Source organism: Homo sapiens, chromosome 22 (assembly GCF_000001405.40).
Source record: "Homo sapiens chromosome 22, GRCh38.p14 Primary Assembly".
NCBI classification, from domain to species: domain Eukaryota; kingdom Metazoa; phylum Chordata; class Mammalia; order Primates; family Hominidae; genus Homo; species Homo sapiens.
The window spans coordinates 40,551,868-40,567,389 of NC_000022.11; the positions used below are offsets into that span (position 1 = coordinate 40,551,868).

Here is a 15,522-nt window from a genome sequence, read left to right on the forward strand (position 1 = left end):
GAATTTATGGAAGGAATAGGGTGAGGGAAGCAGAGAAATTAGAAAGAAATTATAATAATCCAGGCAGGAAATGTTGGACTTACAATGATCACTTTAACTTACAGCTATCTATTTTACAAGAAATGTTAAGATTATTAGGAACTTTCACGGAACATCAAATAAAGTAAGAATCTGTAACATTATAAACATGAAGATCCTGGTTCAAATCAGGGAATGCAATAATTCTGTATCTACTCACCATTCTTCCGCTCACTAAGTGGAGGCAAATTGGGATTCCTGCCAGGGTGGAGGCCTAGGGTCAGCTCGGGCTGCAAGGAGAGCTCCTGCAGTTCATTGGCAACAGCTTCACTCTGGGGACTGGGTGCCGCAGATAAGGACACGAGCACTGGTTCATCATCATTTTCGCCGGCCCCTCCTCCGTCCAGCCCATTCACAGCAATGACGGAAGGGGGCAGGCACACCACACTGGAGAAATCCACTTTGGCTTTCGTGATGGCAATCTGGAAATGGAAGAAAAAATGGAAAGTTTAGATGGTACCATGATAATATGGTTTGGTGGTGTCCTCACCCAAATCTCATCTTGAATTGTAGTTCCCATAACTCACACATATCATGGGAGGGACTTGGTGGCAGGTAACTGAATCACAGGGGTGGTTACCTCCGTGCTATTCTCATGAGTTCTCACAAGATCTGATGGTTTTATAAGGGGCTTTTCCTCTTTTGCTCTGCACTTCTCCTTCCTGCCACCATGTGAAGAAGGACATGTTTGCAACTCCTTCCACCATGATTGTAAGTTCCTGAGGCCTCCCCAGCCCTGTGGAACTGTGAATCAATTAAATCTCTTTCCTTTATAAACTACCCAGTCTCAGGCAGTTCTTTATAGCAACGTGAGAACAGACTAATATAGTAAATTGGTACTGATAGAGTGGGATGCTGCTATAAGGATACCCAAAAATGTGGAAGCAACTTTGAAAATGGGTAACAGGCAGAGGTTGGAACAGTTTAGAGGGCTAAGAAGAAGACAGGAAACTGTGGTAAAGTTTGGAACTTCCTAGAGACCTGTTGAATGCCTTTGACCAAAATGCTGATAGTGGTATGGACAATGAAGTACAGGCTGAAATGGTCTCAGATGGAGATGAGGAACTTGTTGGAAACTTATATAAAGGTGATTCTTGCCATGCTTTAGCAAAGAGACTGGTGGCATTTTGCCCCTACTCTAGAGAGATCTGTGGAACTTTGAACTTGAGAGAGATGATTTAGGGTATCTGGCAGAGGACATTTCTAAGCGGCAAAGCATTCAAGAGGAAGCAGAGCATAAAAGTTTAGAAAATCTGCAGCATGATGATGCAATAGAAAACAAAAACTCATTTTCTGGGGAGAAATTCAAGCCACCTGCAGAAATTTGCATAAGTAACAAAGAGCCTAACATTAATCACCAAGACAATGGGGAAAACGTCTCCAGGGCATGTCACAGACCTTCACAGCAGCGCCTCGAAGGCATAGGAGGGAAAAATGGTTTCATGGGCCCAGGGCCTTCCTGCTCTGTGCAGCCTCAGGACATGGTGCCCTGAGTCCCAGCTGCTTCAGCTCCAGTCATGAATAAAAGGAGCCAAGGTATACAGCTCAGGCTGAGGCTTCGAAGCGTGCAAGCCCAAAACCTCAGCAGCCGCCATGTGGTGCTGAGCCTGCAGGTGCACAGAAGTCTGGAATTGAGGTTTGGGAACCTCCACCTAGATTTCAGAGGATGTATGGCAACACCTGGATGTCCACGCAGAAGTTTGCTACAGGGGTACAGCTCTCATGGAGAACCTCTACTAGGGCAGTATGGAAGGCAAATGTGGGGTCGGAGCGCCCACACAGAGTCCTCACTGGAGCACTGCCTAGTAGAGCTGTGAGAAGGCCACCATCCTCCAGACCCCAGAATGGTAGATCCACCTATAGCTTGCACCATACACCTGGAAAAGCTGTAGACACTCAACATCAGCCCATGAAAGCAGCCAGGGGTGAAGCCGTACCCTCCAAAGCCACAGAGGCAGAGCTGCTCAAGGCCGTGGGAGCCCACCTCCTGCATCAACATGACCTGGATGTGAGACATGGAATCAAAGGAGATCATTTCAGAGCCTTAAGATCTGACTGCCCCACTGGATTCTGGACTTGCATGGGGCCTGTAGCCCCTTTGTTTTGGCCAATTTCTCCCCTTTGGAATGGGTGTATTTACCCAATGCCTGTACCCCCCATTGTATCTAGGAAGTAACTAACTTGCTTTCGATTTTACAGGCTCATAGGTGGAAGGGACTTGCCTTATCTCAGATGAGACTCTGGACTTGGACTTCTGGGTTAATACTGGAATGATCTAAGACTTTGGGGGACTATTGGACACACATACTTGTGTTTTGAAATGTGAAGACCTGTGATTTGGGAGGGGCCAGGGGCAGAATGATATGGTTTGGCTGTGTCCCCACCCAAATCTCACCTTGAACTGTAGTTCCCATAATCCCCATGTGTTGTGGGAGGGACCCAGTGGGAGGTAATTGAATAATGGGAGTGGTTACCTCCATGCTGTTCTCATGATAGTGAGTGAGCTCTCACAAGATCTGATGGTTTTATAAGGGGCTTTTCCTCTTTTGCTTGGCACTTCTTCCTGCCACCTTGTGAAGAAGGATGTGTTTGCTTTCCCTGCCATCATGACTGTAAGTTTCCTGAGGCCTCCCGAGCCCTGTGGAACTGTGAGTCAATTAAACCTCTTTCCTTTATAAACTACCCAATCTTGGGCAGTTCTTTATAGCAGCAGTTTGAGAACAGACTAATAGACACGGACAAACTATGCCACTGGAGTATATGCCGATGCTAATATTATAAATTACATCACTGGCAAACTACCATTATTCTTAAAGCTTTTTGTAAAGTAAACTAGCACCCACTGCTCTCCAGACCCCCGAATGGTAGAGCCACCAGCAGCATGCAACCTCAGCGTGGAAAAGCCACAGGGGCAGAGCTGCCCAAGGCTTTGGGAACCCCTCCCTTTATATCAGTGTACCCAGAATGTGGGACATGGAGTCAAGGATTGTTTTGGAGCTTTAAGATTTAATGACTGCCCTGCTGGGTTTCAGACTTGCATGGGGCCTGTAGCCCCTTTCTTTTGGCAAATTTCTCCCTTTTGGAATGTGAATGTTAACTCAATGCCTGTATCCCCATTGTATCTTGGAAGTAAATAACTTGTCTTTGATTTTACAGGCTCATAGGTGGAAGGAACTTATCTCCAGATGAGACTTTGGACCTTTGAATTAATGCTGCAATGAGTTAAGACTTTGGGGGACTACTGAGAAGAAATAATTGTATTTTGAAATGTAAGAAGGACATGAGACTTGAGGGACTAGCGGCAGAATGATATGACTCTGATATTTGTCCCACCCAAATCTCATGTTGAAATGCAATCCCCAGTGTTGGAGGCAGGGCCTGATGGGAGATATTTGAGTCATGGGGGCAGATCCCTCATGGATTGGTGCTGTCCACATGGTAGTGAGTGAGTTCTTCCAATATCTAGTTGTTTAAAAGTGTGTGGCACTGCCCCCCTTCTTTCTCTTGCTCCTGCTCTCACCCTGTGACATGCCTGCACCTGCTTCACCTTCTATCATGTATAAAAGCTCCTTGATGGCACCATCCTTGTACAGGCTTGCAAAACCATGAACCAATTAAACCTCATAAATTAAAAAAAATTTTATATATATATATATATCTCCACTCACTGAATCCTATGTAGTTAGTAAGAATAATTTTTTTTTTTTTTGAGGCAGAGTCTCGCTCTGTTGCCCAGCCTGGAGTGCAGTGGCGTGATCTCAGCTCACTGCAAGCTCCACCTCCTGCATTCACGCCATTCTCCTGTCTCAGCCTCCCGAGTAGCTGGGACTACAGGCGCCCACCACCATGCCTGGCTAAATTTTTTTGTATTTTTAGTAGAGACGGGGTTTCACCAATGTTAGCCAGGATGGTCTCGATCTCCTGACCTCAAGATCCACCCACCTCAGCCTCCCAAAGTGCTGGGATTACAGGCGTGAGCCACCATGCCCAGCCCTAAGAATAATTTTTATAAAGCATTTCTAATGTGGGAAATGCTTATTCTAAAGCCACACTTAAGAAAAAGTAAGACATAAAACTACATACTCATATATTAAAATATTATACAAAGAAAAAAGATTTTAAGAAGTATACCAAGACACAAAAGAGGGGTTCTGTTTGATTGGACAATGAAAAAATTTTAAGGTTCCAAATTTTCTCTAAAATACTTACATGGCTTTTATAATAAAAAGACTATAGTTTCTGATCTATGAAGTGAGATTCCCTGGGCATTCCTTGCAAACTTTTATGAGGACTTTAATCTAACTTGCTTTAGTTGAAGAAACCAACAAAATATTGAACAGCCATGAAGTGAAGAAAGGCACTAGAAACTAAAAAGACAATTATGATCTAACTTCAAGTAAAGCAATAGTGTGCCCAAACCTGACTGTAGTTCTGGCTGATACATTTCACAGAAAATAAACTGGACTGGAAAAGATCCAGATAACAGTAATTAACATGAGGGAGATAATATTATGAAGAAAAAAGATACTAAGGACTCTCTACTCCAAAGAGACTGGAAGAAGATATAAGGGAGACAAGTTCAAAAAAAAATTTGAACTCAGTATTAGGAACTCAATATTCTCAAGGGTAATTGAGCATGGGCAAACAATGGGAAAAGGATTTCTTTTAGGGTTTGAATAATTTTATAAATTACAAAACAACAAATGTCTACCAACAAAATTCAGAATCTAAACTTCAAAGAATTCTTTTCCATCTTGTCTATGATTTATTATGGTTTGAACCATGTCTCTGTGTGTACTGGGAAAAAAACAACTGTTACACAGGATTAATCCATCCGGCTGAGTATTCTTTGTCATTGACTCTGAAAGAGCATGTCTGCTTCTTTTAACAGCAGCAGCCTTTCAGACTAAAAAAAAGACTTCAACTTTATGACATTCAAGGACCCCTTGAGAACTAACCTCCTTATTCAAAAGGAAAATAGAATGGTATCAAAACTTCAGCCCTAGGACTTAGGAAAAGTGGTTTCACATAGAGTAACAGGTTTTCAATAAACAGCTGTTAAATCATTATGGATTGTAAGAGTTCAGACCTCTCATAAGAAAATTAAGAAATTTAACTGCAACAATAACTCTGTATGCAGTAGATGGGCCTTGCAAAAGTATTAACACAAAACAAGCATTCTAATAGTTGTTAACTGAACAAAGAGAGAAGCAAATGAAAGATACATAAAGATAATCTAGGGAACCACGACAGACATGTCTTGGGGAAAATTTGGATGACACAAGGAAGACTGCATGAAACATACAGAAACACTAAAAATAATGTTAGGCAGTCAAGGACAGGAAACATCAAGCCTCATACCACTAAAATACTATAGCTAAACAGATGCGCTAGAATCATGGTTTCATATAAAAAGTTCTTAACTTAGCAAAACCCCATTATTTCAGACTTAACTGATATTTCTGATACTATAACTTGGTGTGAGATTAAGTAAAATCTTCTGCTATTTGGCAGGGGCAGGGTAATATAAAAGAGTGCCAGGTGGCCAGGCACAGTGGCTCACTCCTCTAATCCTAGCACTCTGGGAAGCTGAGGTGGGAGGATCGCTAGAGCCCAGGAGTTCCAGATCAGTCTCGGCAACATAGTAAGACCCTGTCTCTTTTTTAAAAAAAATTTTAAATAGTTTTTAAAAATTTTAAAAAGAAGGAAAAAAAGTGGTTAAAAGGTAAGTTTATTATCTAAGAGCTCCCAAGGCAGGAGGAAAGGTGAATTTAATGTTACATATGTTTTTTATCACAATTATTTTTAGATGTCTTGGCAAAAAAAAAATTTCACTAAGTAAACTTATATTACTGAGCTTGAAAGAATCCCAGGCTGGAGTGCAGTGGCAAGTTCTCGGCTCAGTGCAACCTCCACCTCCCGGCCTCAAGCAATCCTCCTGCCTCAGCCTCCCGAGTAACTGGGAATATAGGCATGCGCCACCAGGCCCGGCTAATTTTTGTATTTTTAGTAGAGATGGGGTTTTGCCATGTTGCCCAGGCTGGTCTTAAACTCCTGGACTCAAGTGAGCCACCTGCCTTGGCCTCCCAAAGTGCTGGAATTACAGGCATGAGAGCTCACCGAGTCCAGCCTTTTTCTTTCTTTCTTTTTTTTTTTAAGGGACAGGGTCTCTCTCTGTTGCCCAGGCTAGGGTGCAGTGGCACGATCATAGCTCACTGCAACCTTGAATTCCTGGACTCAAGTGATCCTCCCCCATCAGTCCCACAAGTAGCTAGGACTACAGGCACACCATCATGCCTGGCTTTTTTTTTTTTTTTTTTTTTTTTTTTGCAAGGGGTTGGGGAGATATGAGGTTTTTGCTATGTTGCCCAGGCTGGTCTCAAACTCCTGGCCTAAAGTGATCCTCCTACCTAAACCTTCCAAAGTGCTAGGATTACAGGAATGAGCCACTGTGCCTCGCCAAAACCATATATTCTTTAAAATGAAGTAAATTATTTAATTTACTTATCACTAATTCAGAACAAACTTCTTCCTACTACTTTGAATTATTATTATTGCTGGAATTCAGAGATTTAGCATTTACATGTGTTAATATTCCCAAGAGACAATAAAAATCCATCACATGGTATCAATATTTTTCTAATGAAGCATGAAGTTAACTTCATGAGTTTGTGATGCTCTTATGCATTTAGTGAACATAACCAGTATTTCTAGAAAATGATTTAAAGAAACTTTGTAAAAAACGGCCCCCCAAAAGAAAGCCAACCCAAGTCCAAGTCCAATGCTAAGCATAAAGAGAAAATAAAGTTCTTGGTTTTTTGGTTTTTGTTTTTTTTGGGGGGGTTTTTTGGGTTTTTTTTTTTTTGAGACAGTCTCGCTCCACCACCCAGGCTGCAGTGGCACGATCTTGGCTCACTGCAACCTCTGCCTCCTAGGTTCAAGTGATTCTCATGTCTCAGCCTCCCGAGTAGCTGGGATTACAGGCACGCAACACTACATCTGATTTTTGTGTTTTTAGTAGAGATGGGTTTTCACCATGTTGGCCAGGCTGGTCTCGAACTCCTGACCTCAGGTGATCCACCTGCCCCAGCCTCCCAAAGTGCTAGGATTACAAGTGTGAGCCACTGTGCCCAGCCAAGGAAGTTTTAAAAATAATGTTTCACCCAGGCGCGATGGCTCACACCTGTAATCCCCAGCAGTTGGGGAGGCCAAGGTGGGCAGATTGTTAGAGCCCAGGAGCTCAAGACAATCCTGGGCAACATGGCAAAACCCCGTCTCTACAAAACACACAAAAGTTAGGCATGGTGGTGTGCGTCTGCAGTCTCAGCTACTCCTGAGGCTGAGGTAAGAGGATCACCTCGACCCCAGGGAGGCTGAGGCTGCAGTGAGCTGTGATCATGCCACTGCACTCCAGCCTGGGCAACGAAGTGATACCCATCCCAGGGAGGAAAAAATGGTGTTTCTTAGAACACATACTTTTTTTTTCTTTTTTCAGACAGCATGTTACTCTGCCATCCAAGCTAGAGTGCAATGGAATGATCATAGCTCACTGCAGCCTTAAACTCCTGGGCTCAAGTGATCCTCCCAAGTAGCTAGGACTATAGGTGTGTGCCAACACACCTGACTATTTTTTCACTTTTTTGTAGAGACGAGATCTCACTATGTTGCCCAAGCTGGTCTCGAACTCCTGGCCTCAAGCGATCGCCCTACACTGGCCTCTCAAAATGCTGGGATTACAAGCGTGAGCCACCTTGCCTGACAGAACACATACATTTTTAATAGTTTAAAGAAAGGACTGTTTGATACTATATTACAATGCAAAAAGAAAAGAAAGAAAATAAGAATATCAAATTCTACAGACCTGAACCCCATGGTTGTGCCTACTACTAACCAGAATAAAAGAAATAAGCAATCTGAAAAACTGCTTTAGCAACTGTTCGATTCAGAATAGTTCTGTAATTAAGTTCCATATTTACAGAATTATTAAGGGCTTAAAGAGATCACTTAAAATTTACACATATATCTATACACATACACACACACACACTTTACCAAATATTTTTATTGGGTAAATTATATAGTGCTATTTGTTAATTTAGGGGATTTCAAAAGTTTCAGGATACATCCTTTAAAACACCAATATTAAACTATACTATAGAATAAAATCCTTCCATCAAGGCCATGAGGCAGGGAGTGAGGAAGAACACACAAAACAAGAGGGGCAGAATGTTGATAATGTTGAAGCTGGTTATTAGGTATTTAGAAATTCATTATGCTATTATCTCTACATTTGTATATGTTTGATAACATTCTCCTAGTATTTTTTAAAAAATAAGATTCTTCCACAGAATGATGGGAAGACTCAGTGAGACACAGCAAGGTTTCCTTAACCTTGAGATTAGAAAATAGACCAGAAGTCATATACAAGCACTGACAAAAGACTAATTTGGCATAAAATATACACATTGGATTTATTTCTCTAACAAACACACTACTCTCTATTCATTTTGAAAGAGCCCACAGGATAAAATCTCGTAAACTATGATAATCTAGAGACAAGACCCAAAAATGTTGAGGTATAGCCATCATAATTAAGTCCCCTTTACCAATTCCTGAATACTCCTGTAATTGTATTTACTGTAAAACCTGAATCACTTTTTAGAGTTGTAATTTATAACTCTACTGAGTCTAAGTTCATACTTTCTTTTTTTATCAAAGGATCAGTAACTCCAGTTTCTGGGCTGCTGATTCACATATGATCAACAGCAGCCAGAACAAAAACAGCATGGGGGCAGGGTCATCTCCCACAACCCATCTGTTTCCCTCTTTTGCTGGCCTGATTATGCATCTTTTCTCCACCCTACCCGCTTTAGGGCTGCATGCCTTCTGCCTGTACAGAACAACATACGTACCTAGAAACAACAGCATGAAATGTGTTAGAAGAATGGAAGAACGTAGACAGCTACTGACAACTCTAAAACATGAGCACTAGCACAATTCTTTATCATGACCCATGACAAAAAGGTGGTTCTATGCGACCAAATGGTATGGTTCTTCTGAAAATTTTTTTTAAACAATTGGTAAAAAAACTGTTTTCAATCAATTAATGAACTTTCTTTTAGCTGGACATATTTTTACTTTAATTCTCATTGATTTATTTTCAATGCAGTAAACCTAATCTTGAAAACTCTTACTGTCTCAGCAGGTATGTAGGGGTGGTGGGGGTGGATGTGGGTGGGTATGGGTATCTCTGTGTGTGTGTGTGTCTGTGTGTGTGTGTGTGTGTGTGTAAAATCTGGTATGAAGGAATTCAAATCAACTGAACAAGTGTTTCCTGATAGCTTACTATATATGTACTAGGTACTGCCCTACGTCCTACTGTAGAAGATGAGGAAAACAGCCAGGCATGGTGATGCATGCCTGTAGTCCCAGCTACTCGGGAGGCTGAGGTAGGAGGACTGCTTGAATCTGGGAGATAGAGGTTGCAGTGAGTCAAGACTGTGCCACTGTACTACAGCCTGGATGATGGAGTGAAACTATGTCTAAAAAAAAAAAAAAAAAAGTTACTGTATAGAAGATGAGGAAAACATCAAGTCTTGGCTAATTAACTGCCCTTGCCTCTGTCTCTACCACACCCATTATCTTCAGACACCTTAAAAACTACCAGGCTTTAGAGATGGCAAATAATAGGGCTTCCTATTCCTTCTTCATCTTGGAAATCATCTAAAAACGAGGAGTACAAGCAACAGAAAAATATAACAAAACAATGGAAAGCACATGGAAGAGTAATGTGGCAGATTAAAGATGGTTGCAAATTACCTGACACTTCCTTCCCATTAATGGTGGGGTTTATTTCCTTTGACCTTGAATCTGAGCTGGCCTCTGCCTTGACCAATCGAGAACAGTGAAAGTGATGGTATGCCAGTTCAGGGTCTAGACTTTAAGAGGACTGGCAGCTTCTACTTTGGTCTCTTGGAGCCCTGTGCCCCCATGTAAGAAGTCCAACTACCCTGATGGACAGATCCTAAAAAGAGGTCTCATCAGGTGGATCACGAGGTCAGGAGCTCGAGACCATCCTAGCTAACAAGGTAAAACCTCAACTCTACAAAAAATACAAAAAAATTAGCCGGACGTGGTGGTGGGCACCTGTAGTCCCAGCTACTCAGGAGGCTGAGGCCGGAGAACGGCGTGAACCCGGGAGGCGGAGCTTCCAGTGAGCCGAGATCGTGCCACTGCACTCCAGCCTGGGCGATAGAGCGAGACTCCATCTCAAAAAAAAAAAAAAAAAGAGGTCTCATGACTACACAGAAGGGCAGAGGAATCCAGCTGAGTCCAGCTTTCCAGACATCCCCACACCAAGGTGCCAGGCATATGAACAAAGCCATCCTGGACACCCCAGACAAGCCTAGTCACCTGCTGAATAACACTAAGAGATGACACTTAACACTGTATGGATCCAGGTTAATACCATATGGAGCAGGCAGAATAATCCCTAAGCTAAGCCCTGTCCAAAATCCTCACCCACAAAATTGTGATATGTAATAAATGGCATCAGACTTCTCAACAGCAGAAAAGAAAGAAAGAAAAGAAAAGAAGGGGAAAGAAAAACGGAAGGGAAGGGGAAGGGAAGGGGAAAGGGAAGGGAAAGGGAAGGAGGGGAAGGGGTAAGGGGGGAGGGAGAGGAAGGGGGAAAGGGGGGGAGGAGGGAAGGCAGAAAGGAGGGAAAGGGGGAAGAGGGAAGGGGGAAAGAGGGGAAGAGGGAAGGAGGGGAAGGGGGAAGGGGGAAGGGGGGAAGGGGGAACGGACGGAGGGGGGAATGGAGGGAGGGAGGGAAACATGGGGGTGAATAACAGAAAAAACTTAAGAATCTTAAGTGGTCATCTCAAAGTAGTAAGATGCAGGGTAGACTTCTAGGTATCTATAGAGTTCTCAACGAATTGGGTAGCCAAGGTGATAAATACCCTTTGGTAACAGCCAATGGTGACAAATAGCCAATGGCAAAAAATAATTTATGACCAGTCCATAAATTACTTGGCCTTTGCTCACTTCACCTCCTCTTGATGGTTCTACAGGGAATCAGTCATCCAAATATTTCCTCTTCCCCCAACAAAAAGGATAACAGTAACAATATAACACTGCCTCTTCAATTACAACAGTACCGGCCCCTTCACTACTGGCTTCATTTCTCACCATTCCCCTTTATTCACACTCTAATCACTGGTACCAGTTATGCGGCTCTTTACTGTGACTGCCTAGAATTGCCTCTTCTTCCCCATCCTACTTCCTTCTCTTTATTATCCATCCCCTTCGAATGGGCTAGGCTTCCACAACATCCCAAGATTGCTTTTATCACTGCTTACTTTTACTATTATCATGGATTGATCTCCCAGTAGATGGTAAATTCACTGAAAGGAACTCCATTCTACTGGTTTTTTTGTCTCAAGTACCCAGATACAATACTTGAAATTTAAAAAGAACTTAATAAATATTTGTTAATTTACTACGTATATTAACCTTACAGCAAACACATCATATATACAAAGTCAGCACAGATACAGAAAAAAAAAAAAAAAAAGGAAAGAGGGTTCTGTCCCAGGTATAAATACACAGAAGATCAGAAAAAGCTTCTAGAGAGGGCCAGGTGTAGTAGCTCACACCCATAATCCCAGCACTTTGGGAAGCCAAGCGGGGAGGATCCCTTGAGCCCAGGAGTTCAAGACCAATCTGGTCAACAAATATTGACTACCCACTACATGCCAGGTGCTGTCTGGGTATTGAGGATTACAGTAAATAAAACAAAGTTCTTGCCCTCAGGAAGCTGGAGACATAACTTAAATGAACAAAGTCATAGATGTGAGAAAATGTGAACTATGTTCTAAAAGGGCAATACAGTTTAGCCAATCACATGGTTCAAGTACAAGCAAATTAATATGGCAGTGGAGTTAGACTGGATTGGAAAAAAGAAATATGCGGTTGTGGGGGGAGGTTACAAAGCTACTTCATTAGGCAAAGTATAATGTGTTGATATCCTGAATTGGGGTAGTTAAATGCAAAGAAGGGAACGACCATACAATGTACCTGGCACAGAACAGGAACTCAAATCTTTGTCGCGTTAATAATGAATGAAGACAGGATTTATATAAGATAGAATGTGTTTCTGTTTGATTGTTGGGGATGGAGGAGAGACAGATGTCAAAAATTACTAAAGGTTTTAAGCCAGGGCAGTCATTACAACAGTATTCTGCTAATAGAAATAGGGAAAAGAGGAGGAATTTTATCTGTGGAGATAATAAATTTGATTTTGCATGTTGGGTCGAGGGACCAAAGAAAAATAATGGAAATGTCATTTGGGTTTCCATTAGGTACACGAGAAGGAAAACATGGGAATGAAGACAATGAGAAACAACAAAGATTACAAGAATAGGAAGAGAATAACAGAAGAAAAGTAGGAAGAGTTTGAGAAAGAGGAAAGAGGCTGAGTTACAGATATAAGGAAATAATAATATTGCTTTCAAACCTGACTCAGTTGATAATTCATAAATTCCTAGTCTCAGATCACCTACTCTGGATCTTGGACCATCCCTCACCATCCTTCTGATTCCTAAAATTGTCAAATACCGCTGAGTATCTAATTGCATATCAGCACTTTCTGCTTACACTATTTTAGAAGAAGCTCAATAATGCTGTAACTTTATTTTATTATTATTTTTATTATTATTATTTTGGAGACGGAGCCTTGCACCGTCGCCCAGGCTGGAGTGCAGTGGCGTGATCTTGGCTCACTGCAACCTCCGTCTCCCGGGTTCAAGCTTTCTCCTGCCTCAGCCTCCCGAATAGGTGAGACTACAGGCACACGCCGCCATTCCCGGCTCATTTTTTGTATTTTAGTAGACACGGGATTTCACCATGTTGCCAGGCTGGTCTCAAACTCCCGAGCTCAGGCAATCCGCCCACCTCGGCTTCCCAAAGTGCTAGGATTACAGGCATGAGCCACCCTGCCTGGCCAAAGTTCTAACTTTATAATGCTGAGGGGCAATCAGCTGTCCTCAGATTTAAAGACACAAGTAAGCTCATGAGCTTATGTATAGGGACGTGAACTCACCAGCTAGAAGAAACAGAAATTTTAAAAAAGAAAACAGAAAAAAAGTAAAATATGTATTTTATACCATGGCTCAACCCCTTTTTATTGACTACTTCTCTATACCATTCCCAACAAGCCCCTACCATGTGTGTTAGGTATACATGTGAACATCTTCCCTTAACTAAACAACATAAATTGCCTTTCAGTCTTATGGAACTCATGAAGACCTCCTGGGGTAGGCTGGGTGCAGTGGTGCATGCCTGCAATCCCAGGACTTTGGGAGGCCAAGGCGGGAGGACCACTTGAGATCAGGAGTTCAAGACCAGCCTGGCCAATACAGTGAAACTCCGTCTCTACTAAAAATACAAAAATTAGCTGGGCACGGTTGTGCACACCTGTACTCTCAGTTACTCCGGGGGCTGAGGTGAGAAGATCACTTGGGCCCAGGAGGTAGAGACTGCAGTGAGCCAAGATCGCACCACTGCATTCCAGCCTGGGCAACAGAGCGAGACTCGATCCCCACTTCAAAAAAAAACAAAAGACCTTCTGGGGTAGACCTGACTTTCATTAATTCACTCAACAAATGCATAGTGATGAGGCACTGTTTTAGGCACTGGGAGTACAACAGACAGAAAATATCTTCGCTTTCTTGGGCCTACATTATAGTGGGAGAGACATAAAAATGAAAATAAATATACAATAAAAAGTTTTTGGATAACTATAAGCATTATGTGCCTGGGGGCCAGGTGGCTAATTTAGATTAAATGACCAAAAGAGGTCTCATTGAGGAAGTGATATCCGAAAGAGACTTGTATAGCCAACCCTTATTATAAATGAGGCACTGTATGTGTATGCATTCAATCTTCACAACACTAAGACGTATATTTACCTAAATTATCCATAATTTTTTACAGTTGAGGAAACTGAGACACTGAGAGGTTAAATACTTGATCCTGGGCAGTGAAGCTTCAGACCTCATGCCTCTATGGCTCTGTCTGAACTTGACAAGAAACAGCCAGCCATGCAGAGGGAACAGCATATGCAAGTTAAAAAGCCATGAGGCAGGAATGAGCTTGGTATCTTGAAGGAACTAAATGAATGGCATGGCCCGAGAGGAATGGACATAAGTATATTACATAAACAACTGGATGCCACTGGGAGGTTTTACACAATGGAGTGATATGATCTGATTTATCATTTTTTTTTTTTTTTGAGACAGAGTCTCACTCTGTCGCCCAGGCTGGAGTGCAGTGGCGTGATCTCGGCTTACTGCAGCCTCCACCTCTTGGGTTCAAGCAATTCTCTGCCTCGGCCTCCTGAATAGCTGGGATTGCAGGTGCCCACCGCCACACCTGGCTAATTTTTTTGCATTTTTAGTAGAGACGGGCTTTCACCATCTTGGCCAGACTGGTACTGAACTCCTGACCTCGTGATCCACCCGCCTCAGCCTCCCAAAGTGCTGGGATTACAGGCGTGAGCCACCACGCCTGGCTGATTTATCTTTTTAAATAATCATTTTGAGGGCTGGGCATGGTGGCTCATGCCTGTAATCCAAGCACTTTGGGAGGCCCAAGGCTGATGGATCACTTGAGGCCAGGAGTTTGAGACCAGCCTGGCCAACATGTTGAAACCTCATCTCTAGTAAAAATACAAACAATTAGCGGAGCATGGTGGCGAGTGCCTGCAATCCCAGCTACTAGGGATGCTGAAGCAGGAGAATCACTTGAACCCGCGAGGCGGAGGTTGCAGTGAGCCGACATCACACCACTGCACCCTCGCTTGGGCAACAGAGCAAGACTCCGTCTCAAAAAATAAATAAAAATAAATAAATAATCATTTTGGCAGGTGTGTAGAGAAAGAATGACAAGGGAGCTGTTCACCTTAGCGTGCCACCTGACTCTGAGTTTGGTATAATTTACTATTCTGCCTGGCCCCTAATGAAAATGTAATAATGTTGTTTTGACCTGTGTCTTAATATATCACTGAGTTTGGTGATGTGACCTTGAGTAAGTCGCTCTGAATAAACATTTGTTATTATTATCTGTCCTATCATGAAGGGTCTTATAAGAAGGTACTCTGAAAAGTAGAGACATTAACTACAAGGTAATATTTTCTTGCAAACATTTAACAGAAATTTGACAATTTGCCTTAAACTCCTCCCCCACCTCCAAAAAGGCTGCTTGAAAATTAAAGCACTATTTTGACAAGATGACTTCATTACATTCCTTGAACTTTATTCATGCCCACAAACACTACAGGTATGCTTTCCTTATGATTCTCAATCCTTTTTCTATGGTGTTCAAATGTGTTCCAATTTTTAAAGGTGGAATTCTATTTGTCTTCTAGAGTTCTTCTCTAAGAGA

The 15,522-nt window shown here is 42.3% G+C and overlaps 1 protein-coding gene and 1 long non-coding RNA gene across 4 annotated transcripts in view; one reads left to right on the forward strand and one right to left on the reverse strand.

The window, feature by feature from the left end:
* Window positions 1-15,522, reverse strand: part of MRTFA (myocardin related transcription factor A) — a 226,431-nt gene that overhangs the window by 141,579 nt on the left and 69,330 nt on the right. For all 3 annotated transcript variants that reach the window (NM_001282661.3, NM_020831.6, NM_001282662.3), the window contains exon 3: window positions 239-500. In NM_001282661.3, the coding sequence (NP_001269590.2) occupies window positions 239-479 (241 nt within the window). In that variant the 5' untranslated portion in view covers window positions 480-500. The remainder of the gene's footprint in view (window positions 1-238; window positions 501-15,522) is intronic.
* Window positions 3,310-12,599, forward strand: LOC105373037 (uncharacterized). The gene is made up of 5 exons (XR_001755550.2): window positions 3,310-3,347; window positions 8,952-9,123; window positions 9,248-9,283; window positions 9,439-9,527; window positions 12,441-12,599. It is a non-coding gene; the product is annotated as an uncharacterized LOC105373037 (long non-coding RNA).